Source organism: Homo sapiens, chromosome 5 (genome assembly GCF_000001405.40).
Source record: "Homo sapiens chromosome 5, GRCh38.p14 Primary Assembly".
NCBI classification, from domain to species: Eukaryota; Metazoa; Chordata; class Mammalia; order Primates; family Hominidae; genus Homo; species Homo sapiens.
Genome location: NC_000005.10, coordinates 126,170,216 through 126,195,747, shown reverse-complemented (window position 1 = coordinate 126,195,747; position 25,532 = coordinate 126,170,216). Strand labels below are relative to the sequence as shown.

General features: G+C 38.2%; 2 long non-coding RNA genes across 2 annotated transcripts in view, besides 1 other annotated feature; one reads left to right on the top strand and one right to left on the bottom strand.

Annotated features, from left to right (window-relative positions):
- Positions 1 to 25,532, top strand: part of LOC124901056 (uncharacterized) — an 891,204-nt gene that overhangs the window by 174,551 nt on the left and 691,121 nt on the right. The window lies entirely within an intron of this gene.
- Positions 1,898 to 16,171, bottom strand: LINC02039 (long intergenic non-protein coding RNA 2039). The gene is made up of 4 exons (NR_105042.1): positions 15,982 to 16,171; positions 4,530 to 4,604; positions 2,622 to 2,671; positions 1,898 to 2,148 (listed from the first exon to the last, which is right to left on the bottom strand). It is a non-coding gene; the product is annotated as a long intergenic non-protein coding RNA 2039 (long non-coding RNA).
- Positions 5,561 to 6,160: an enhancer, noted in NCBI's record as "OCT4-NANOG hESC enhancer chr5:125525281-125525880 (GRCh37/hg19 assembly coordinates)". NCBI's record gives its function as "activates a minimal SCP1, AML or CMV promoter by ChIP-STARR-seq in naive H9 embryonic stem cells {active_cell/tissue: H9 hESC(naive)}" and the evidence as "EXISTENCE:reporter gene assay evidence [ECO:0000049][PMID:30033119]".

Below are 25,532 nucleotides of genomic sequence, written 5' to 3'. Positions count from 1 at the left end.
TTCTGGAAATGACAAATGTTAGCTACGTCATCTCTATCCAGTGTAGTAAACAAATATTTTATTCTGTGATGGAGAATTTCTCTATTGAAGTGCTTGAATTCAGCCTGTTTTTGGTTAAAGCTCTCAGAGATCTGTGTGTCTTCTCTAAGAGTAGCCTTCCTGTTCCGAGGTGACTAAAGCTGTTTCTCATCGCTCACTTCCAGTTTCTACCAAAACAATCTTTCTTTTTCTTTCCTCTGTCCTTCCCTGCCTGCTTGCCTTTTTTCCTTCTCCTCTCTTCCTCATTATTCTCTGGAATGAACAAGTCAGAAAGTTATTTCTCTTTTGCCAACTACCCATTGACTTGTAGCATTTAAACCTACATTTAAAAAATGTTATTTATAAGTTGTTTGTATAAGAATGTACTCAGGCATCTGCCAGGATTTAGAAAATTTTATTGCTTCTTTTATTACAAGGACAAGTTAGAGAAGATTTGGAAGGGGAAATAGAGGTTGTTTTTGTTTTTTGTTTTTGTTTAGACAAGGTCTCACTCTGTCACCCTCGACTAGAGTACAGTGGCAGGATCTCCACTCACTGCAACCTCCACCTTCCAGGGTAAGTGATTCTCCTGCCTCAGCCTCCTGAGTAGCTGGGATTACAGGCACGTGCCATTGCCACCCAGCTAATTTTTGTATTTTTTAGTAGAGATGGAGTTTCACTGTGTTGGCCAGGCTGGTCTCGAACTGCTGACCTCAAATGATCTGCCTGCCTTGGCCTCCCAAAGTGCTGGGATTATAGGCATGAGCCACCATGCCTGACCGGAAATAGAGTTCTTAAGGGAATCTTGATGTACACTGGGTGGGAACAACATAGGATCCAGAAAGTATGTTTGCGTAGCCCCTTGTGGGGAAGCTCTTCAAAAAAGAGGATGAAGATTCACTCCTCTTCCATAATACTGAGGATAGTGCTATGTTACCCAGTGGTTGGTTGGGAAGATCACACTCTGGTATGATGTTGAGTCACTTAATGCACCGAATCCATGAGAAGCTAGACTTGTGTGTGAAAAATTACAGGGCTTATATGAAAAATGCAGCTCTCTAGCTCAAATTGGGAAATGCTACAAAGAAGCAATAAAACCAAACAGGACACCCCACTCTAAGCCTAGAGAACAGTAATAAGTGAAAATGACTGCTAATGGCATATTGTCAGTGATATAATATTGCTGCCCTTTGGATGTCAGAACTGGACTTTTTCTGAATTTATTATAATATTCGCAGGGGGAGAATGCATGTTCATTACTAGTGCTTAGAGCATCTGGTAAGGTAACCTCTAATTCTGCTTAAATGGAAGTCGACAAAGCAGGTACATGTTATCCTGGTTCTTGTGAATTAGTCTTTAGGGATGGCTCTTATTCAGCATGCTTGAATTATGTGCCATTCTTAGAACAAGGCTTAAACATCCAATGACACTCAGTGGTTTAATCTATGTAAATAAATCTCAGCCATATGAATCTGACACAAATTACCTCATTCAATGAATTGAGCGATTGCAAGGACTACAATGGTCTGAATGCTGCTTTATATATTGACTTTGTAGATCTAAACCCCCTGCTTATCCACGGAAGTAAAAGTTAGTGCTCATCAGAGGTCCAGGTTACATTTGAATAGATAATACTATCTGGTTGGATACAGACCTTGGATAGAATGTGAAGGCCAAAGCAGGAAGGAATTTCCTTTAGGTGAATTATTATATAAGTATAAGGTCTTATGTTTAGCATCCCAGGAAAGAGGGGTTATTTTTGTAGGGAATATTTCAGATGTACAAGAAATAGACTTTGTTATGAAAATTTTTTCTCCATCAGTCAAGATAGCAGGGAGACTTCATAAAAATAGACTAGATTACTAGAATACTACCACTTTGCATCATATTTCCTTCATTTACAATATTTTCTGTATGATATTGAAGAAATAACCTTGAGGTGGATCCAGTGTTGTTAAAACTTATTCGAATTGCTGACAGCAATCTGGCTGTGTTCAGGAGCTGAATTTTCAAATCATTTAGATGGAGGCGAGTCCCAGAATAGGCTTCCCAACGTCTGCTGGGCCCCAGGTGCTTGTGAAACTCTCAATTTGTTGTTGTAGAAGCTCTGGAGAAATATCCCAGTTGCCACTGACAGAAGTTATCAGGTGAATTGGAAGGAGATGAAGTGAAGAGAAGGAAAGAATGAGAATTGTTTATGCAAATGACATGAAAATGAACAAAGGAACAAATGAGGAAAAGGCACGTGGCAGTGGCTAAGTGGAGTTACTGAGGGCTCGGATGGAATGTCACTAGCAATCTCACATATAAAAAGCACAGGGAAATGCTGCCATTAGGATTTGTTTAGAAAAGGAAGTTGAGGTGGGGTTGGAGTGGTTGGTCAGAACATTTGTGATGGTGGCTTTTTGTGCAGTTGAGAGCTCAGATGCTGGCTTAATCTACTTTTGCTGCATCTGCTACCACTATTGACACTACCACTAACTCCTGGTGGAGCGTTGAGTCTTGGTAGGTATCATGTTAAGGCATTGGTGCATATTATCTCACTTAGGAATTCCAAAGAATCTTCAAAATGTGTAAAATGTTAAAAGTCCTATACCTCCTACCTTACTGTTGCAATCATCCAGTGCCAAGGGTAACACACATAACTTTCCAACTGTAAAATGGCAATAACAAGAATTAGTTCACGGTGGTTGTTTAGGGATCAGTGAAATAACTCCAGTACAGTGACTAGCAACATGATAGGCATCTAGCACACTCTAATGTCAACTTTTTCTCCCCCTTTCTATATAAACTAGTTCCTTATCTATAAACATTAATAAAATGTTCGAACTAAAAGGAATTTTAATATAATATTTAATGTAATCTTTGCCCTTATCCTGTATTATGTAACTTTGGAATTCAACATACAAGTTGTGTTTGATTTATTGTTATATCCTTGTTACTTACGCTAGTGCCTAATGTAATACTTTGCATGTAGTGGGTACTCAAAATATTTATTGAATTATAGTGAGAATACCAAGACACAGTCTCATTGGAAATGAGTCTTTTCAGATTGGAAGCTTTTTAAGGAAGCAAATATCATAGGCAAGCGAAACATTACAAATGGGATATTTTGAAGCCGTAGTTTCCCAGGGGCAAATCCTGAGTCAAGGAAATATAGCAGAAGACCACATTGCCTGGTGTGTTCTCAAGTTTGATAAAAAGTTTCTTTTTTGGAGCACAAAGGAGTAATTTGTTTTTTTGCTCAGGACGTCAAGATGATCTCCAGTGAGGGCCTGTGCACAATACTTACTCGGAAAGAATTCAGCTTGTCTAGAGCAAATAAGTGCTCAACTTATGTGTCATCTTTCTAAGGTGGACTGAAACACAGATGTACTGAAGTGAGCAAGCTCTTTAATCCCTAAAGTAAAGTAATACTTTCTCAGAAATAGTGTTTTCCAATAATTCACAGCAGAAGTTTTTATCACCACCTTTTATATCTGGGTTCGGTAGGTGTGTAACTTTTTCAAAGGCTAGGATCAAATCTGAGTGGACAAAGATGTAATGGAGACAGAGTTTTATATCTTCTTGCCTTTAACACCACTTACAGTTTGGGAAGGAAGCCTTAATTCTGTCAATATTCCATTCCAGTATGTAGTGCTATAATTGAAAGTTAAACTGGAGGTAGGCAAAATTTAGGATATTGCAGGCCACTTCATTAAACTTGTTAATTATTGTAAAAATTGGCTGCAATCACTATATCTAGAGTATATTGGTTCTAATGAGTGAGAAAAGGAAGAAAATTATAGAAACAACAAAAAACATTGTACTCTGGAGCTAGACTCCTTAGGTTTGCATTTGGTTTCTATATTTACTACACGCACAGTTTTGGGCAAGCTGCTTCATCTCTCCATGTTTCTGTTTCCTAATCAATAAAATAGGAAAAGTAATAGGAACTATCTCATTGGATTTGGTGAGGATTAAATGAATTAATATATATAAAGTATCTGGCAGAGTGTCAGGATGATGGTTACTATATATTAGTTGTATTCTTTCTTTCTTTTTTTCTTTTCTTTTCTTTTTTTTTTTGAGACGAAGTCTTGCTCTATCACCCAGGCTAGGGTGTAGTGGTGCGTTCTTGGCTCACCGCAACCCCTACCTTCCTGGTTCAAGTGATTCTCCTGCCTCAGCATCCCTAGTAGCTGGGATTACAGGTGTGCACCACCACACCCAGCTAATTTTTGTATTTTTAGTAGAGATGGGGTTTCACCATGTTGGTCAGGCTGGTCTCGAACTCCTGACCTCAGGTGATCCACCAACCTCGGCCTCCCAAAGTGCTGGGATTACAGGCATGAGCCACTGTGCCTGGCCTAGCTTTTAAATTTCTAATCTTTTTAGCTTTTTGTCTTCATCATAATATCAGGATATGTGCCCACAAATTGGGGGATTTGTCAGTGTATGTGCATGTGTATGCAGGTATGCTTTTTTTTCTTTTAGGTAAGTGGGTTTTACTTCAGAAAGTTAGTCATTACCTTTGAAACATCCTCCAACTAATCCAATTTGAAGAAGTGCCAAACCTTAGAATCCTGTCTTCATCACATGTGGGCCTGTGTAATAAATGAACATATTATGGAGTGAGGACATAAAATTCAATGTGTGTAGGTGGACAAGAAAGTTCACCCAAAAGGATGAGTTGGGAGTTCCAGAACTTTACAGAAGATGTTTTATATATTAAGTGGAGTGTTGTAGCTTTTTTTTTTTTTCCTTCCTGCTGAGGTCTTCTCAGAGCTGCATATACTCTTGTTCAAAATCTCAATATTCCAAGTGGTGTTTTCACAGCCCCAAGGAAACACTGGGCAGAAGGGTGAGGAAAGCAACAAGCAGGCTCCTCATCAGCAGTTTTGACAATCTGGGAAAGGAGAATCTAGTTGATTGTGTCAAAGCAAACTGAATATGGCCTGAGAAGGACTCCATACTTCTGTTGACTCCTTGTGGATGAACTGTAACCTAGCTTAACTGGCAGACAAAATTGAAAACCTAACTCAGGAGTAATACATTGTAACAATGGCTGAGTCTTGGCCAATCCCAGCAGCTATACTTCAACCACTCATAGACTGCTGAGTGTTCTAACTGTTCAAATAAGGCAAACACAAACCTGTAACCAATCCAGCTGTTTCTATACCTCAGTTCCGATTTCTGTACATCATTTCCCTTTTTTTCGTCTATAAATCGTCTTCCACCATGTGGCTGCTCTGGAGTCTCTCTGAATCTGCTGTGACTCTGGGGGCTGTCTGATTTGCAAATCATTCATTGCTCAATTAAACTCCTTTAAATTTAATTCAGCTGAAGTTTTTAACGATTGGTAGAACTTAGAGGCAATTGGAGGACAAAAATATTCCTCAAAGAGGTATGGTTTTTAAAAGTTGATCTCACAAGGATAAATCAAGTGTACTTCCTATATTACAAGTGAAAATTACAAGGAATGCTTCAATTTAATATTCTGTATTTTTTTTCTCACTTATAAAAGAGCATGTACTTTTCTTGCAAAGACCCGGTTGTGGTTCTTAATTCTGTCACATACAGGTAGTAAGGCTGTGAGCAGGTAGCTTGACCTTGCTTAATCCCAGCTTTGGCATCTGTTTAATGGTGAGGACAAAAACACCAATTACCTGTGTTTGAGGAGGTGTATTCAATGGGATTACTGCCTGAGGAGCAGTAGGCATCTAACAAAGACTGGTCATTGTTATTGTTGCTCTGACCACGCCTCCCACACAGTCTTTAAATCCTCCTCTCGGTCCTGTCTTTTTTTTTTGTCTCAAAGTCTATAAAAATAAGATCGTCAAAAAATTAAAAGTTGAAGATTTCAGCAAATACAACTTAATTTCTGATTATCCATATCACTTTAAGGAAGCGTCAGAGTGTAAAAAAAGAGAAAGTTTTAAATTACCTTTTGAGATTTTCATAATCTCTATCCCTTATATATTTGTGAATTTTTTTGATAACAGTAATCACCCAAAAGGTCAAGAAATAGGTAGGTGAGGTGAGGGAAGCACTCCGTGGTACTTAGAAGATGAATGGTTAGCAATGGATGTTTATTTATCCTGATACATATTCATATTTTACATCAGTTTCTTGAACTCTATGAAATTTTAAAAAAGGAACATTTTAATTTGGTACAGCTGTTTCATGAAAACCATTATTAGCATGAAGAGAAAGTGCTATTCGAAGCAATGGTACAAAGGTTTAATTTTTATTTCCAAGGGAAAACGTGCACGTGCAGTAAAAGTAATAAAGGAAAGCTGAGTTTCCCTTGAGGTATGCGAGGCTGAATGAAATCTGCTATATTATCCTTCAATCAGCCACTTAAAAATTTTAATTGTGAAGACTGTTAATCACAAGGAAAGTAACCTTTTCATGAGCTTTTCTTTGTTGAGGGGAGTGGAGGAGGGCTACATTCTTTTATCAGCTCCTTAGGAAGAATCTTTCCTTATTTCAGCGTTTTTGGGCAGCTCTCATTCTCCTCTGGGCTTCAAGCATTGACTTTCAGGCTAGTTAAGCTGTATTGCTTAGGAAAAAAAGCAGACCAGTAGTGAACAGGCCTTAAACAAGTAATATTTTGTCACTGTAAAATGTCTCCAAACTAAGCATGCCCCTAATCCCTGTAGTGTGTACAGGCAGGGCCCAGAACACTTCAAAAGCCCCTGTTCAGAAGCCCCTGACTCAGCAAACCTACAGTTGTGCAAGCCCCTCTCTGTGGCTCATTCAGTGTCAGAGTGACACAGCATGTGTCATTTTGGAAACATACTACAAATTGGTATGCAATGTAGATTTCTTGATTTTTCTTTTTACACATTCAGTGGCAATCAAGGGAGCTATATAGTGTGGTGACATTAGAAGATGATGATTTTACGAGTCCGAAATTTTAACTTTCCACATATCTTGTGAAGAAACTTACATGTCATTGAGGTTCATGACATTTTCTGGGTTTGGGATGAATTGGGAACCGAGAGGATGATGAGAATCAATGAAGCCACACCCCTACAGTCCAAAGGAAGCAGGGAGCAAAGCAGACTAACCAGACAGTCCCAGCAAAGCACCTCTGGACAAATGAGGTTAGCATCAGTACTGTTACTGGTGCCATCAGTCTCTTCTACACCTCTGCAGGGTGAAGTTTGGTATGGAGTTGCTGTGCCTTCAGTGTTTCTGCCACTGAAGAAACACTGGTGAGTCACTAGGTGCCAGCCACATTAGAACAGGAGTATGCCTTTCGAGTCCTCCAAAAATCAAAGGGAAGTGGAATAGCATAGCACAGAAAACATTTTGTGGCAGATTGCTTATGTTTTAAAAACAGCTTTATTGAAGTATAGTAGACATACTATACATTGCACATATTTTAAGTGCACAATTTGATGTTTTGATATATGATTATGTTGTAGAAAAAAACGAGTTCTTGTCACAGGACCAGGAAAGATTAGGCTCACAGACACTTTGAAGGGTGAGGGGGGACAGAATTTATTGGGCAAAAAGGAAAAAGGAGAAACAACTCAAAAAAGTGAGATGGAGTCCTGCTGATAGACTCTCCACCTCACAGACTGAATTCTAGTCACCCCCCAGGAACTGGAGAGGCCAGGCTCCTCCCTGTTGCAAACGATGCGAACTTCCCAAGGCTACACCCCAACCTCCCAGAGCGCAGGCTGGTGGGAGATTCTCTAGGGACTACTTTTTACTTGGCTATTTCAATTATACTTGTGAAACCACCACTACAACCAAGATAATGAACAGATTCATCATTTTTGGAAATTTCATCATGCGCTTTGCAACCCTTCTTATATTCACAGGCAACCGTGGTCTGCTTTCTGTTACTATACATTAGTTGGCATTTCCTAGAATTGTATATAAATGAAATTGTGCAGTATGCATTTTTGTTGCTCTTTTTTTGGTTTGGTTTCTTTCATGCAGCATATGTATTTTGAGATTTATCCATGTGGTTCATAACATCAATTGTTTATAAAGTTTTATTACTGAATAGTATTCCATTGCATGTGTACACCACATAACGATAATCTTTATCTGGTTGATGGACATTTGGATTATTTTTTCACAATTGCAGATGTAGCTGCTATAAACATTGGTATACATGTTTTTGTGTGGACATATGTTTTCATCTCTGTGTAAATACCTGATAGTGGAATGGTTGGCCAGTATAGGATATGGTTAATTTGTTTTAGTTGAGATAAATTCATATGCCATAAGATTCTTCCTTTTAAAGTGTATAATTCAGTTTTTTTATATTCACAAGGTTTTATAACAATCATCACTAATTCCAGAATATTTTTATAACTCTCCTCCACAAAAAAACTTCTGTACCCATTAGCAGTCACTTCCAAATTTCCCCCTCCCTCCAGCCTCTGGAACCACTAATCTACTTTGTGTCCCTACAGAATTGCCTATTCGAGACAGTTCAGATAAATGGAATCGTCTAATATGTAGTCTTTTGTGTCTGACTTTTTTCACTTAGCATAGTGTTTTCAAGGTTTATTCATGTTGTAGCATGTATCAGTATTTCATTCCTTTTAAGGCTGAATAATACTCCATTATAAGGATGGATACATTATAAGGATACACCATATTTTGTTTATTTATTCCTTAATTGATGGATATTTATGTTTCCACTTCTTAGTTATTATGAGTAATGCTGCTATGGAAACTCATGTAAAAGTTTTTGTGTGAATATGTTTTCAATTCTTAGGTGCGGATAGAAGTAGAATTGTGGGCTCATATGGTGCTGTGGTTTGGATATGATTTGTTTGTCCCCACAAGAACTCATGTCGAAATGTACTCCCTGCTGTGTGGTGTTGGGAGGTGGGGCCTAGTGGGAGGTGTTTGAGTTGTTGGGGTGGGTCTCTCATGAATGGCTTGGTAGTGAGTGAATTCTCACTCTCATGGGAATGGATTAACAATTGGAGAGAGCAGACTGTTGGAAGAGCCTGTCTTCTTTGGTTTTACTCTCTTGCTTCCTCTCTAGCTATGTGAGCTCTTTGCACATGCAGCTCCCCTTCCACTTTCTGCTATGAGTTGAAGCAGCCGGAGGCCATCACCAGATGCAGCTGCCCAATCTTGGATTTTCCAGCCACCAGAATCATGAGGCAAATTAACCTTTTTTCTTTATAAATTACCCAATCTCAGGTATTCTGTTATAGCAATACAGAATGGACTAAGACATATGATAACTTTTTTATTAATGTGTTTGACCTCTTGAGGAGCTGTCAGACTGTTCTACAAAGTAGCTGCACTGTTTTATATCATGACCAGTAGTGTGTGGGGTTTCTGTTTCTCCACATTCTCACCAGAACTTGTTACTATCTGTTTCTCTTTATTACAGCCATCCTTGTCAATGTGAAATAGCAACACTGCAGTTTTGGTTTGCATTTCCCTAATGACTAATGATGTTGAATATCTTTTCATGGGCTTATTGGCCATTTGTATATCTCTTTGAAGAAATGGCTATTCAAATTATTTGCCCGTTTTTAAATTGGGCTCTTGGTCTTTTTATTGTTGAATTGGAAGAGTTCTTAATATATTGTGTACACTAGATCCTTATCAGATATGTGGTTTTCAAAAGTTTCCTCCCAGTCTATAGGTGGTCTTTTCACTGTCTTGATTATAGCCTTTGAAACACAAAGGTTTTTCATTTTGATGAAATCTAATTTATCTATTTTTTTCTTTGCTTGTACTTTAGGTGTTATATTTAATGTTTAGCTTTTTAAGAAACTGCCAAATTATTTTCCAAAGTGTTTGTACCATTTTACTTTCCTATCAATGTATGAGTGTTTCAGTTTCTCTACGTACTCATCAACACTTGGCATGGTCCATCTTTAATCTTAGACATTCTAATAGATTTATAGCAGTATCTCATAGTGCTTTTATTTGGCTTTTTCTTAGTTATTGATAATGTTGAACATCTTCTCACATACTTTTTTTGCTATCCATTTGTTACCTTTACTAAAGTGTCTGCTCAAATATGTTGCCATTTAAAAAATGGACAGTTTGTTTACTTATTGAGTTTTGAGTATTGTTTATATATTCTAGAATCAAGTCCTTTTTCAGATATATGCTTTGCAAGTTTTTTTTCTCAGTTTGTGGCTTGTTTTTAGTTCTCTTAACAGTGTCTGTTGAAGAGCCAAAGTTTTTAATTTTGGTAAAGTCAATTTACTCTTTTATAGGTTTTGGTGCTATATCTAAGAATATATGGGAAAAGAAGAAAAGAGGCTTTAAAAATGTGTGTGTATGTACTTTTTCTTTGATTAGTTTGTAGTAGACTAAGCTTAAGGATAAGGAACACGTTCTACTTGTATCCCCAACCTAGCACATTGTAGGTTATGAACAAACTTCTGCAGAAAATAGAATGAATCAAAATTAAGGAGTGATATTTGTGCAAAACTATCAAGTTGAAATTATACTTCAAACTTTCTATAAAGAAAAATAAAGCCAAAATAAATTTCAGTGAATATATTTGCCCTCATTCCAGTATGACAAAAAGATCCAAGGCCATCTTTTTCCTGACTTCCGTAAAGACAATTGTGTAGCTACAATGAAGCTTTCTCTACCTCTTATTGGATGCAGAAGACAGGGACTTAAAGCAGACTGCAAGACAACATTTGATGTGGACTTTGGACTTGTGAGATTAACTGAAATTACATACACCTAAGGATTTGCTAAGAAAATTTGAATATAAAAATAATAGTCCCGATTTTTGTGTGTTCTCATTAATCTAGGACTCTCTGATGCAGCTAAATTAGGTTGATTTTAATGAGAGGAGGCACTTAAGTGCATTTGTGTTTGTAATTTTTACAACATTGTTCCATGTTTCAATCCTTAGAGCAAATGTCAAAAAAGAATTATAATACTTGCATACCTGACAATTTTAATTGTTCATATTATGGAGAAATCACTGATTAAATCATATATTCTGACTTCTTTTAGTTATCTGGAAAATCTTAACAGCTTCAATGACATGACATGTATATTTCCATGTCTTTGTTCTTAAACACTTGAAAGACATTAATCAAACATGTCGAAGGATCTTTTCTATACAAAGACCTGATGCAGTGTCAAAATCCTACTCAGCACATCAGTATAGGCAGCCACTACCTTTCTCTTGGTGTTGGCTGATGAGATGAAATCTATTTGCCATTCTGCCCCAATTGTAGGGTTTGTACTCTTAATAAGTGCATATCCTCTTTTATTTGTGAGAGCTAATAGAATTGTGGACTTGTTCACTCAAAAAGCATTTAGTAATTGCTTTCTATGTGTCAGGCCCATGTAAAGTGTTGGGGATAGAAAAATGAGTAGAATACATTCCCAGCATCCTATAGTCTCATAGACACGATGGGGCAATGCACAGTTTCCGTGTAGATTGGCTTGTCAGTGTATTCCTGACTAGCTTCTGGTGAGTGTTGCAGTGATGATGAAATAATCTACCCTTATAAATGTTTATATGGAGTAACAAGAAGTGCTGGTTATGAGGCACAGCAAAACATTTTCCATGATTTCTTAAAGAAAGGGACTGACAATTCATTTATGGTCAATTTGAACCCCATACTGGTAAAATGTGTTGAATAAAACCTAAGTAATTAATTTGTTATTTGCTATCCTGGTACTTTCCTTCCTACCACCACTTTGCTTTTCTACCTCCTCCAAAACAACGGGTCCACACTTCAGATATGTTTCCTCTTTGCCTATTTCCTGTTTTTGTAAAAGAGAGAAACTAATTTTACCTATTTAACAGTTCCATTGGACTGAGGAAAATAATGCATAATAAAATGCTTAGAAAAGTACCTATTTCAGTAAATATTAGTTTTTAAAACATTGTTGTTATTGTTGTTGTTCAGTTGAAACATTTGCTTAGACTTCCCTCCATGTACATTTGGCTTCCGCTCATTGTGTCAAGTAGACTCTCAAAGCATGTAGCACTGAGGCTGAAATGCATGACTCAAAGACATCACCAGAGCTTGTGAACATACAGTCACACTGAAAATGAATATCATCTCAAATCTGGGCAAGAAATTATTGGCAAAATAACCCCCAGAGTCTGAATTTGGCAATTAATTTCATCAGCTATAAAAAAATGTTAGAATTATTCGGTACTTAGTATCAACAACAATGAAGCAATTGTTAATAAATGGAGAGAGAACATCAACCAGTTTGCCAAGGGAGGCCCAGCTGTGTATGCGCAGGCAGCCTTGGCAAGAAGCTCGGGTGGCGGTTTGGGATGGCATGCCATTTGTCCTTCATGTTTCCACAACTGGCAGCCAGTCCTACATAAGCTTGGCTGACAGGCAGTAATCTAATCTGGTATCCTATTTATTCCATTTTTCTCTTCTCAATACAACTCCAGCTTCCTTTTGGTTCAGCATTTTGGCATTTGTGATCAGTACATCATATTCCATCTTGTTGACTTTTTTTGGCCTTGGCATAGTCAAGATTGTGAATCTTCAGTTTGACTGTTGTATGTTTGTCTATCTGATCATTATCTCAGTCAACAAGCATTTAGCCCCCAGTGGTCCATAGACAATATTAGCCTCTTGTATAGATGTCAGGATAACTGACACTTCACTCAGTTGCCCAGGATGCATGACGGCATTTGCAAGCTCCAAGGGCTCATTTGGAAGGCATGGTATGTGCCAAACCCTCTAGTATTCTCTTAGCATCCAGACTTTGTCTAAGTCCAGAGAAAGAGAAAATAGTCTGAATAAATGTCCAGAGGGCTCTTTTCATTAAAAAAGCTTCTCCTTCTGACATACCACTTACTTGTTTAATCTCTGTCTTTCTTCTTAAAGGGTAAACTCCATAAAAGCAGTACTCTGGCCCTTTAATTCACTAATGCATCCCTAGTGCATGGAACAGTTCCTTCTAAGACCTTAATAAATATTTGTTGAATGAATGAATAAATTCACTCAGTAAACTTTCTGGGCTTTGATTAAGTGCTAGCATTGTGCTAGGACTTAGCCATATCAACTAACTTCAAAGACTAGTTTCTTGTCCTGGTGGAGTGCATATTATAGTTGGGGAGTGAGACAATGTTAAATGAAAAATAATCACAAATTTGGATGATAGATTGTGAGTAACTGTTATGAAGGACCATATAATTAAATAATGAATGATTGACTGGAGAAGATGGGCAAAGCCAGAGAAGATCTAAAAAGAATAATCCAGCCACATGAAAAAGCTAGAGGTAGATATTACAAAGGGCTTGGTATATTGGAAGAAAAGAAAAAAAACTGGTGTGGCTGAAATGCAGTAAGCAAGAAGGAGAATGAAATAAGGTTGGAGAGAGACAGAGGAACCACTTTATGCAACCCTGTAGCTCATGGTAAAATAAAATGCAATGGTAAGCCATTGAAAAATGTTGATCAGGACAGTGTCATCTGATTAATAGATTTAAGAGATTACTCTAAAAGCTACCTGGAAATTTCACTGGAAGGGACTAAGAGAAGAAGCAGTGGAATCTGTTAGAAGACATTTCCGGAGTCTAAATGGAAAACGGTGACTTCACCAAGGTGATGGCATTGGAGTTGGAGAGAAGTGAATTTAAAATACACTGGAAGGAAGCACTGACTCAATGTGGTGATAAATTCAATGCACAGAAAGGGGTGAATAACAGTTGAATGAATTATTACTAGGTTTCTATAGGCACACTTGGGTAAATGGTAGGGCCATTCAATGGCTAAGTGGTAGTAGTATTTACTGAGATAGGAATGACTTTAGGAAGGTATATTAGGGTTCTCTAGAAAAACAGGACAAATAAGTTCTCCAGAGAAATGGAAAATTATATATATATATTTCATGCAACAGTTTAGATATATAAAATAAGGAATTGATTCACATGACTAGAAAGCTGAGAAGTTCAAAATATTCACTTATTAAGCTGGAGAGCTAGGAGAGCCAATGGTATATGTTCTAATCTGAGGGCAGGAGATGACTGATGTCCCAGTTCAGCAGTTAGGCAGGAGGAATTCCCTCTTAATAAGCCCTTTTATTCTTTTAAATCTTCAAGTGATTGGTGAACCCCACTCACATTATGGAGGGCAACTTGCTTCACTCAGTCTACAGATTCAAAAGTTATTCTCATCCAAAACCACTCTCACCAGACACATCCAGAATAATGGTGGACCAAATATCTGGGTATACTGTGGCCCAGTCAAGTTGGTACACAAAATTAACTATCACAGAGGGGCAGATTGGATGTGGAGATCAGTAGCTTTATTTTTTCATATTCAGTTTGAGGTGTTTATAATCCACAAGCATGCAGAGTTTAAAAGGTAAGTTTGATATATAGGTCAAGAGATCAAAGGGGAGATCTGAGCTGGAAACATAAATTGGGGGATGTGGCAGAGATGGCTAGTTTGCCTACCTAATATCATTCTTCCCTTCTACCTTATGAATACAATTCTGTTTGTTTCGGTAGTATAAATAGGTTCAGCTATAAAATCTGCATTTCCCTTGCACATTGGATGGTCACATGACACAGTTCTGTCAATAAAATGTATATAGTAATTGTGAGGTAATTCTGAGAACTAAAACTAAAAAAGGGGAGAAGACTCATTGATCTTTTGCTGTTTTCTTCTTGATTAAATTACTGATGTATCTAACTTGTGATAATGTAAAAAACACATGCTAAAGAAGGATGAACAAAATGATAGAGGAAGCCTAGAATATAGTCAGTGTGTCAGCTCTGGACTATGTACCTCCAAATGTCATCTTTCTGGAGAAAAGCCAAACCCCTAATGTGTTTAAGCAGCCCTTATTCAGATTTCTGTTTCTTGCAGCTGACTGCAATTTTCAACTGATACAGAGTGTCATTAGCATATAGATAGCCTATCAGTCAGGGTGTTTTTGGCTGCAAGTAAGAGAAAACCTGACTTAAAAAATAACATTTAAAAATTTGTGTTCAGCCTGAGCAACATAGCAAGACCCTGTCTCTTAAAAAAAATAAATATAATAACATTTTAAATCTTACATGACTGGTACTCTAGAGGAAGCACAGACTCCCGAGATTAGTTGTTCCAGGTACTCCTCAAGGACATGCTGGGACTGATGTACTTTGTTAATTTCTGCTCAGTCATCTTCTGCTCTGGCTTCATCCCATTGACTTCCTGTTCATGTCCAGTGATAGAGAAAGCACCTTTGCATCAAACATTAAATATAAGTACTTCATTGTAATACAGATAATTTATCCTTGAATGAATCATTGTCTTGATCCTCAGTTTTGAACTAATTACCAGCTGGAGAGAAGAGATTATCCTTACTGAGTAGGGCAATTCAGGAACTCTTCTTCAAATGGAAGTCAATATTCAAACTCTAGTGCTATTATATAGCGGGGAAAGTTTGGGATAGGTGTTGAGGATTTAAACAAATGTTTAATATATTTTACCCCTTTAATGACTTCACATCCAAACTTAGCTTCTTCCCAACTAGATACACACCCTTACAATGCTCACACCAGCATGAAATACCTTCAGTTTTCCCCAAATGAGATGGTTCAAAGTCTTCACTGCTATAATTCCAGATTTTTGGTTGAGTTGCTCTTTCTCTTATATAGTTGTAGCTTCTAATTGTATTAAGGCTAAGATACTGTTATCTTCCCTTAACATATTTAATATAAAGTAGTAGAGAAATAACAAGATAAGCACAGTGAAAATTGTGGAAAAGGGCAGTAGCACACATGGTTCACTGGAACATGGCATAAACCATAGCCTGCTGGCTGGAAATAATGAGGACTTTCTGACCTGGCAGTGCAGTGACTACTTGTGTTACATTATAGCAGCATCCAGTTCTGCTCTTTGGAATAAATTCACTTGTCAATCTTCCTCTATTACCCCATGTCCTGTCTCCTGGGGAGATTACTCATATCCATCAATTTTTATATGAGATGGACATGAGATAGGATGCCCTTTCTGGCGCTACACAGATATAGTAGCTTACCTCCTGTAAAGTGTGTCCAAGGGATTTAAGATTTAAGTTACAGCTGTTTATGGTAAAGCTTGGAATTTCTTTAATTTATTATTTTCTTCAAGTTTTAGTAGGCTTTTGGTCCATATGTATTTGTAGTTTTCATTGCATAATAACCACACCAGCGGATATTAGTGTGGTCATGGTCTTTGAGTTTGGTTTTGGTCTCCTAAGCAACAAATCACTGTTTTCTAGAATTTTAGTTGAATGGCTTCTATCTACATTTGGTCTGCCCCTGGAAGAGATCTGAAGCAATAACCTTGGGCTAGTGGACATCAATATGTTGTATCCTTTCTCAGGCAGAGAATCCTTAATTGGAACTAAGTCTCATGTCTTTCTTGTGGCTTAATCTTATATTGTTCCAAACTAGCTACTTTCCAACCTGTACCAGCATTAGTATTTATTAAAGTAGGTAATTCATTTCTGTAACCTAAAGAATTTCATAATTTTGGACTACAGAAAAGAATCCTTTCAAGCTACTTTTACTTTTTTAGGTGCTTACAGTGGGCCACATTCAACCCGTTTGTCTCTTATAAGATTTTGTTGATGGCCTTAAGAAGTATTAAAAACACTCTAAACATGTTTCTTACCAAGTCTCTAATGCTATAGCCTTGGTTGGCATATTGACAGAGTTTCAACATAAAGAAGGCCATAGTTTAATGGATATACTCAATATAGTGTAAAAAGATTACCAACTTACTAGAAAGAAATAATAGGATCTTCTCTGTTCTGTATCCTTTATCTTTTGACTAAACCAGTCGGTTTTCTACACTGCTTTATTTCATGGTATCAAAATCTGTATTAGTTGAAATGCACTCACCTGAAAATAACAGAAATTTTACACTGGGGGTGAAAGCCACAATTCAGTCAGGGCTAAGAATGGGCCTCAGGTCTGGCTAATCAGACTAGAGTCTATCTCCTTGGCCACAGTGATTCAGGGTTATATGTGGCAGCCAAGATAGTCCAGTTGGAGCTAATCATAAGAGATTATGATCCTGGAGCTGTCAGGGGCCATGATGTGAAGCCAGAGAAAGAGGCCAACTCAGTGGAAAACAGAGCCAAGAGCTGGAGAGAAACCAATTTCTGATGACATCATTGGGCCTCTGAATCCAATCCTGTATGGAGCTAGCATTCTTTCTGGCCTTCTCAATTAAGTGAATCAATATTTTTTTTTTCTTAATCTTGTTTGAACCAGCATTTCTCTCATATTCAACAGTTTAGATTTCTGGGTTGATTTGAGTAATCGGATTATAAAAAGTCACTCAAACTCATTGAAATAATTTGGGGGGATAAAAGGGATGTTTAAGTTTTCCTGTAATTCCTTCATTTCTATTATGTGAGCTCACATAGCTATTTAGCTTCAAAGTCAAATTAGATATTCTTTCCTACTGGTTTCCAGTAGCTTGTACTATTTGATGCTGTTTAGAAATGTGTAAACACAATGCTGGCCACTAAATATTAACCTTGTTAGAAATTTTTAATCTAAGAATTAGTGCCATATCAATAGTGATATATTTTCTATAAGTTTTTGAGCTGGTAAGATTTACTTGTGTCCAACAATATACTTCACTCTGGCTACTTGCATTGGCCTCTTTTCACACCACACACACAGAAGAGAAAAGTGTATGTTTGATAAGAGAGGGTTTTCTTTTCTGACTTTTTGTCTTGAAAGAATTTTAGACTTACAGAAGAGTTGCAAAGATAGTACAGTTCTTATATACCCTTTGCCCAACTTGTCTTAGTGTTTTATTTTTGTTTTACTTTAAGCTCCAGGATACATGTGCAAAACGTGCAGGTTTGTTAGATAGGTATACGTGTGCCATGGTGGTTTGCTGTACCTATCAACCCATCATCTAGGTTTTAAGCCCCACATGCATTAGCTGTTTGTCCTGATGCTCTCCTTCCCCTCATCCCCCAATCCCCCACAGGCCCCAGTGTGTGTTATTCCCCTCCCAGTGTCCATGTGTTTTCATTGTTCAACTCCCACTTATGAGTGAGAACATGTGGTGTCTGGTTTTCTGTTCCTGTGTTAGTTTGCTGAGGATGACGGCTTCCAGCTTCATCCATGTCCCTGCAAAGGACATGATCTCATTCCTTTTTATGGCTGCACAGTATTCCGTGGTGTATATGTACCACATTTTCTTTATCCAGTCGATCATGGATGGGCGTTTGAGTTGGTTCCAAGTCTTTGCTATTGTAAATAGTGCTGCAATAAACATGTGTGTTCATGTGTCTTTATTGTAGAATGATTTATATTCCTTAGGGTATATATGCAGTAACACGATTACTGGGTCAAATGGTATTTCTGGTTCTAGATCCTTGAGGAATCGCCACACTGTCTTTCACAATGGTTGAACTAATTTACACTCCCAACAGTGTAAAAGTGTTCCTATTTCTTCACAGCCTCACCAGCATCTATCGTTTATTGACCTTTTAATAATCATCATTCTGGCTGGCATGAGATGGTATCTCATTGTGGTTTTGACTTGCATTTCTCTAATAATCAGTGATGTGCTTTTTTTCATATGCCACAAAAATAAATGTCTTCTTTTGGGAAGTGTCTGTTTATATCTTTTGCCCACTTTTTGATGGGATTGTGTGTATTTTTTCTTGCAAATTTGTTTAAGTTCCTTGTAGGTTCTGGATATTAGATCTTTGTCAGGGGGTAGATTGTAAAATTGTCCTCCCATTCTGTAGGTTGCCTGTTCATTCTGATAGTTTCTTTTACTGTGCAGAAGCTCTTTAGTTAGATCTCATTTGTCAATTTTAGCTTTTGTTGCAGTTGTTCTTGGTGTTTTCATCCTGAAGTCTTTGCCCATGCCTATGTCCTGAATGGTGTTGCCTAAGTTTTCTTCTAGGGTTTTTATGGTTTTGGGTTTTACATTTAAGTCTTTAAGCCATCTTGAGTTAATTTTTGTATAAGGTGTAAGGGAGAGGTTCAGTTTTAATTTTCTGCATATGGCTAGCCAGTTTTCCCAGCACCATTTATTAAATAGGGAATCCTTTCCCCATTGCTTGTTTTTGTCAGGTTTTTTGAAGATCAGATGGTTGTAGATGTGTGTTGTAATTTCTGAGGTCTCTGTTCTATTCCACTGGTCTATATGTCTGTTTTGGTACCAGCACCATGCTGTTTTGGTTACTGTATCCTTGTAGTATAGTTTGAGGTCAGGTACATCATGCCTCCAGCTTTGTTCTTTTTGCTTAGGTTTATCTTGGCTATACAAGTAATTTTTTTTGTTTCGTATGAAGTTTAAAGGTTTCTTCTAATTCTGTGAGGAATGTCAATGGTAGTTTGGGAATAGCATTGAATCTGTAAATCATTTTGGGCATTGTGGCCATTTCCACGGTATTGATTCTTCCTATGGGTGATGGAATGTTTTTTCATTTGTTTGTGTCCTCTCTTATTTCCTTGAGTAGTGATTTGTATGTTTCCTTGAAGAGGTTATTCACATGTCTTGTTAGCTGTTTTCCTAGGTGTTTTATTTTCTTGTAGCAATTGTGAATGGGAATTCACTTATGATTTGGCTCCTTGCTTGTCTGTTATTGGTGTATAGGAATGCTTGTGATTTTTGCACATTGATTTTGTATCCTGAGACTTTGCTGAAGTTGCTTATCAGCTTACGGAGATTTTGGGCTGAGAAATGGGGTTTTCTAAATGTAGAATCATATCATCTGCAAACAGAGACAATTAGATGTCCTCTCTTCCTATTTGAATACCCTTTATTTCTTTCTCTTGCCTGTTTTCCTGGCCAGAACTTCTAATGCTATGTTGGATAGGAGTGGTGAGAGGGGGAATCCTTGCCTTTTGACTGTTTTCAAAGGGAATGCTTTCAGCTTTTGCCCATTCAGTATGATATTGGCTGTGGGTTTGTCATAAATAGCTCTTATTATTTTGAGATATGTTCCATCAATACCTAGTTTATTGAGAGTTTTTAACATGAAGGATGTTGCATTTTATTGAGGCCTTTTCTGCATCTATTGAGATGATCATGTGGTTTTTGTCATTGGTTCTGTTCATGTGATGGATTATGTTTATTGATTCATATAGGTTGAACAAGCCTTGTATCCCAGGGATGAAGCTGACTTGATCTTGGTGGATAAGCTTTTCGACGTGCTGCTGTATTTTGTTTGCCAGTATTTTATTGAGGATTTTCACATTGATGTTCATCAGGGATATTGGTCTAAAACTCTTTTTGTTGTGTCTCTGTCAGGCTTTTGTATCAGGGTGATACTGGCCTCATAAAATGAGTTAGGGAGGATTCCTTCTTTTTCTGTTGATTGGAATAGTTTCAGAAGGAATGGTACCAGCTCCTCTTTGTACCTCTGGTAGAATTCGGCTGTGAATCTGTCTGGTCCTGGACTTTTTTTGGTTGGTAGGCTATTAATTATTGCCTCAATTCCAGAACTTGTTATTGGTCTATTCCAAGATTCAACTTCTTCCTGGTTTAATCTTTGGAGGGTGTATGTGTCCAGGAATTTATCCATTGCTTCTAGATTTTCTAGTTTATTTGCGTAGAGGTGTTTATAGTATCCTTTATCATTTTTTACTGTGTCTATTTGATTCTTCTCTTTTCTTCTTTATTAGCCTTGCTAGCAGTCTATCAGTTTTGTTAATCATTTCAAAAAATCAGCTCCTGGATTCCTTGTTTTTTTGAAGGGTTTTTTGTGTGTCTGTCTCTTTCAGTTCTGCTTTGATCTTAGTTATTTCTTGTCTTCTGCTAGCTTTTGGATTTGTTTGCTCTTGCTTCTCTTGTTCTTTTATTGTGATGTTAGGGTGTTGATTTGAGATCTTTCTAGTTTTCTAGTGCTATAAATTTCCCTCTTAACATTGCTTTAGATGTGTCTCAGAGATTCTGGTACACTGTCTCTTTGTTCTCATTGGTTTCAAAGAACTTCTTGATTTCTGCCTTAATTTTGTTACCCAGGAGTCATTCAGGAACAGGTTGTTCAATTTCCATGTAGTTTTGTGGTTTTGAGTGAGTTTTTTAATCCTGAGTTCTAATTTGATTGCACTCTGGTCTGAGATACTGTTTATGATTTCAGTTCTTTTGCATTTGTTGAGAAGTGTTTTACTTCCAATTATGTGGTTGATTTTAGAATAAGTACGATGTGACACTGAGAAGAATGTATATTCTGTTGATTTGGGGTGGAGAGTTCTGAGATGTCTATTAGGTCCACTTGATCCAGAGCTGAGTTTAAGTCCTGAATATCCTTGTTAATTTTCTGTCTCATTGATCTAATATTGACAGTGGGGTGTTAAAGTCTTCCACTATTATTGTGTGCGTCTCTAAGTGTCTTTGTAGGTCTCTAAGAACTGGTTTTATGAATCTGGGTGCTCTTGTATTGGGTGGATATATATTTAGGATAGTTAGCTCTTCATGCTGAATTGATCCCTTTACCATTATGTCATGCCTTTCTTTGTCTTTTTTGAGCTTTGTTGGTTTAAAGTCTGTTTTGTCAGAAACTAGGATTGCAACTACTGTTTTTTTTTTCTTTCCATTTGAGGATAAACTTTTCTCCATACCTTTTATTTTAAGCCTATGTGTGTCTTTGCATGTGAGGTGGGGCTTCTGAATACAGCCACCAATTGGTCTTGACTCTATCCAGTTTGCCAGTCTGTGTCTTTTAATTGGGGCATTTAGCCCATTTACATTGTTATTGGGTTAACATTGTTATTGAATTTGATCCTGTCATCGTGATGCTAGCTGGCTATTTTGCCCACTAGTTGATGCAGTTTCTTCATAGTGTCATTGGTCTTTATATTTTGGTGTGTTTTTGCAGGGGCTGGTACCAGTTTTTCCTTTTCATATTTAGTGCTTGCTTCAGGAGCTCTTGCAAAGCAGGCCTGGTGGTGACGAAGTCCCTCAGCATTTGCTTGTCTGGAAAGGATTTTATTTCTCCTTTGCTTATGAAGCTTAGTTTGGCTGGATATGAAATTCTGGGCTGAAAATTCAAGAATGTTGAATATTGGCTCCCAGTCTTTTCTGGCTTGGAGGGTTTCTGCAGAGAGATCAGCTGTTAGTCTGATGGGCTTCCCTTTGTAGGTGACCTGGACTTTCTCTGTGGCTGCCCTTAATATTTTTTCCTTCATTTTGTCCTTGGAGAATCTGTTGATTGTGTGTCTTCGGGTTGATCTTCTCATGGAGTATCTTAGTGATGTTCTTTGTATTTCTTGAATTTGAACGTTGGCCTCTCTTGCTGGGTTGGAGAATTTCTCCTGGAGTGAATAACCTGAAGTGCATTTTCCAACTTGGTTCCGTTCTCTCCTTCTCTTTCAGGTACTCCAGTCAATAGTAGGTTTGGTCTTTTTACATAGTCCTGTATTTGTCAGAGGTTTTATTTGTTCCTTTTCATTCTTTTTTTCTCTTATCTTGTCTTCCTGCCTTATATCAGTAAGATGTTATTCAAACTGATATTCTTTCTTCTGCTTGATCAATTCAGCTATTGATACTTGTGTATGTTTCACGAAGTTCTTGTGCTGTGTTTTTCAGCATTATCAGGTCATTTAGGCTCCTCTCTAAGCTGGTTATTCTAATTAGCAGTTCCTGTAACCTTTTATCAAGGTTCATAGCTTCTTTGCATTGGGTTAGAACATGCTCTTTATCTCAGTGGAGTTTGTTATTATCTAACTTGTGAAGCCTACTTCTGTCATTTCATCCATCCCATCCTCCATCCAGGGTTCTGTGCCCTTGCTGGAGAGGCATTGTGATCATTTGGAGGATAAGGTGCACTCTGGCCTTTTGGGTTTGCAGTGTATTTTTGTTGATTCTTTCTCATCTTCATGAGTTTGTCTAGTTTCGACCTTTGAGGCTACTGACCCTTGGATGAGGATTTTGTGGGGACTTTTTTTTTTTTTTTTTTTTTTTGGTGATGCTGTTGTCATTGCTGTTTGTTTTTCTTTCAATAGTCAGGTCCCTCTTTTGCATGGCTGCTGTTTGCTGGGGTTTATTTCAGGCCCTATTCATCTGGTTCACTCACACACCTGGAAATGTCACCTGAGGAGGCTGGAGAACAGCAAAGATGAGTGTCTGCTCCTTCCTTTAGGATCTCTGACTCCAAGGGTCACCAATCTGTTACCAGTAGGCATGCTTCTGTATAGGGTGTCTGACAACCCCTGTTGGAAGGTCTCACCCGGTTGGATGGCACAGGGAGCAGAACTCATTTAATAATACACTTTGGCTGTCCCTTGGTGGAGGGGGTGTGCTGCAACTGGGGGAAACCCACTTGACTGGGCTGCCCGGATTCCTCGGAATTAGCAGGAGGAAAGACTAAGTCTGCTGGTCCATGGAGACTACAACCAGCCCTCCCCTAGGGGCTCAGTCCCAGGGAGATCAGAGTTCTGTCCTTGAGCCCCTGGCTGGAGTTGTTGGAGTTCCTGCAGGGAGGCCCCACTCAATGAGGAGGGAAGGGTTACGGTCAGGCCTAAAGAGGCACTCTGGCCGCAATCTGCCAAAGCCAGTGTGTTGGGCTGTGGGGAATACCTCTAGGGACCCAGCCGTCTGCCTCTGTGGCTCTAGCAGGGGAAAAGCATAGCCTGGAGCTACAGAGATGGCTGCTGCCCTTCTCTTGCCCTGGGAGCTTAGTGTGTTAGGCAGCTAGCAGTCCCAGTGTTGGTTGCCACCCTCCCACAAAGAATTCAGATGGCTCAGCAGGCAGCCACAGCTGTGGTGATGGCTGTCCCTCCCCCCAGGAACTGGGCAGCCTTAAGATAATTCTAGTTGAGTGGCTGTTGAGAATCTGCATGGCTCCATGGTTGGGATCTCAGGCCCTGGTGATGTGGGCTCATGAGTGGGAGCTTCCGATCTTTGGGTTGCATAGTTCCATGGAAAAAGCATGGTTTCCCAGGCTGGGTAGCACGCTCACTCATCACCTCCTTTGGCTGGTGGGTGGGGGCTCCCCTGCCCATTGTGGCTCCCAAGTGGGCCGCTGCACCACACTGCTCTTCCTTCCTCTCTATGGGTCATGCCAACCACCTAGTCAGTCCTGATGACAGAACCTGGATACCTCAGCTGCTAGTGAAGTATTCATCTGCTGTTTTGGCTCTTTTGGATGGGAGCCTCCGATCACCACTGCATCTGGTTGGCCATCTTGACCCTGCCCTGCCTTAGTGTTAATATCTTTTGTAGTCATAGTATAGTGATCAAAACTAAAAAATTAACATTAGTACAATATATTAAACTATAGAATTTATTCAGATTTTACCAGTTTGTTGTATAATCTTTTTCTGAGCAATTAAAAATGAAAATTACCTTTTGTATATTTGGTTTTTTATTAAGAATTTCAAATAAATATAGCTGATTGTACTTAATAGTTTAAAACTATGCATAAACTGTTGGGCCATTGTTTGTAACTCACTATGCTACTTGGAGAGTGGCATTCAAACATTAGTAGTGGGGGTACGTCTTGTTTTGCTGTATAATAGAGAAATTGCTGAAAATCTATAAATAAGCTTTGTATACATTACAAAGACATTTTACTTTTTATAGGTGCAAGATTTACTTATAACTTATGGTTATAAGTTATAAGGTTTAATATACCATTATACTATAATAAATAAGGAAGAAGTCACTTATTTCCCAAAGTGACCCCAAATGTGTTCCCTTGGCAATTTGGTGCTTCCCTTTCAAATCTGCTTAAATTAACATCACTTTATTTGAGAGTAATGGAAAGTAATTTTTTACAGTTATGAGATTCAGGGGGTGTAACATCGCACCAGGAAAGGTGAATTGTGTGAGTATTCAAATACTAACGTTGGAAATTAAATTAACTCACACATCATTTTCTTAGAAAATCCACATATTAGGGCAGAAAACTGTTAAGAAATACTATGAGCTAGAGCGTAATATTTTATAGTAAGTAGAATCAACAGGATATATTCCTTGGACTAAACTGAAGTTCATTAAAAGAAGTAGATTTATAGAGAAGATGCCATCTGGCTATTTATTTAGAGACAGGGTCTCACTCTTTCAGCCAGGCTAGAGTGCAGTGGTGCCATCACGGTTCACTGCAGCCCTGACTTCCCAGGATCAAGTGATCCTCCTACCTCAGCCTCCCAAGTAGCTGGGACTACAGGTGCATGCCACCGCACTTGACTAACTTTTTAAAATTTTTCTGTAGAGACAGGGTCTCTCTATGTTGCCTAGGCTGGTCTTGAACTCTTGAGCTCAAGTGATTCTCCCTCCTTGGCCTCCCAAAATTTTGGGATGATAGGCCTGAGCCACCACTTCTGGATTATTGTATGTTTATTTTAAAGGGGGCAGGAACCAAGGTATTTTGGTATATTTAATACATATAGACACACTATACTTAATGAAAACTATCTTTGATATATTATCAAAATAGCTTGCCAGACATTTCACATCAACTTCACATAGAGTAATAGAGAAACCTTAACTTCTGTGGAAAGTTCACTCTATCACCATAGCAAAACGATGTTTTCAGAGGCCTGAAACATTGCTAGTAGTTTGAGAGTTTTTTCTGACTTTGTTCTTTTTATATAACTGACACATTTAACTTTTCACTGA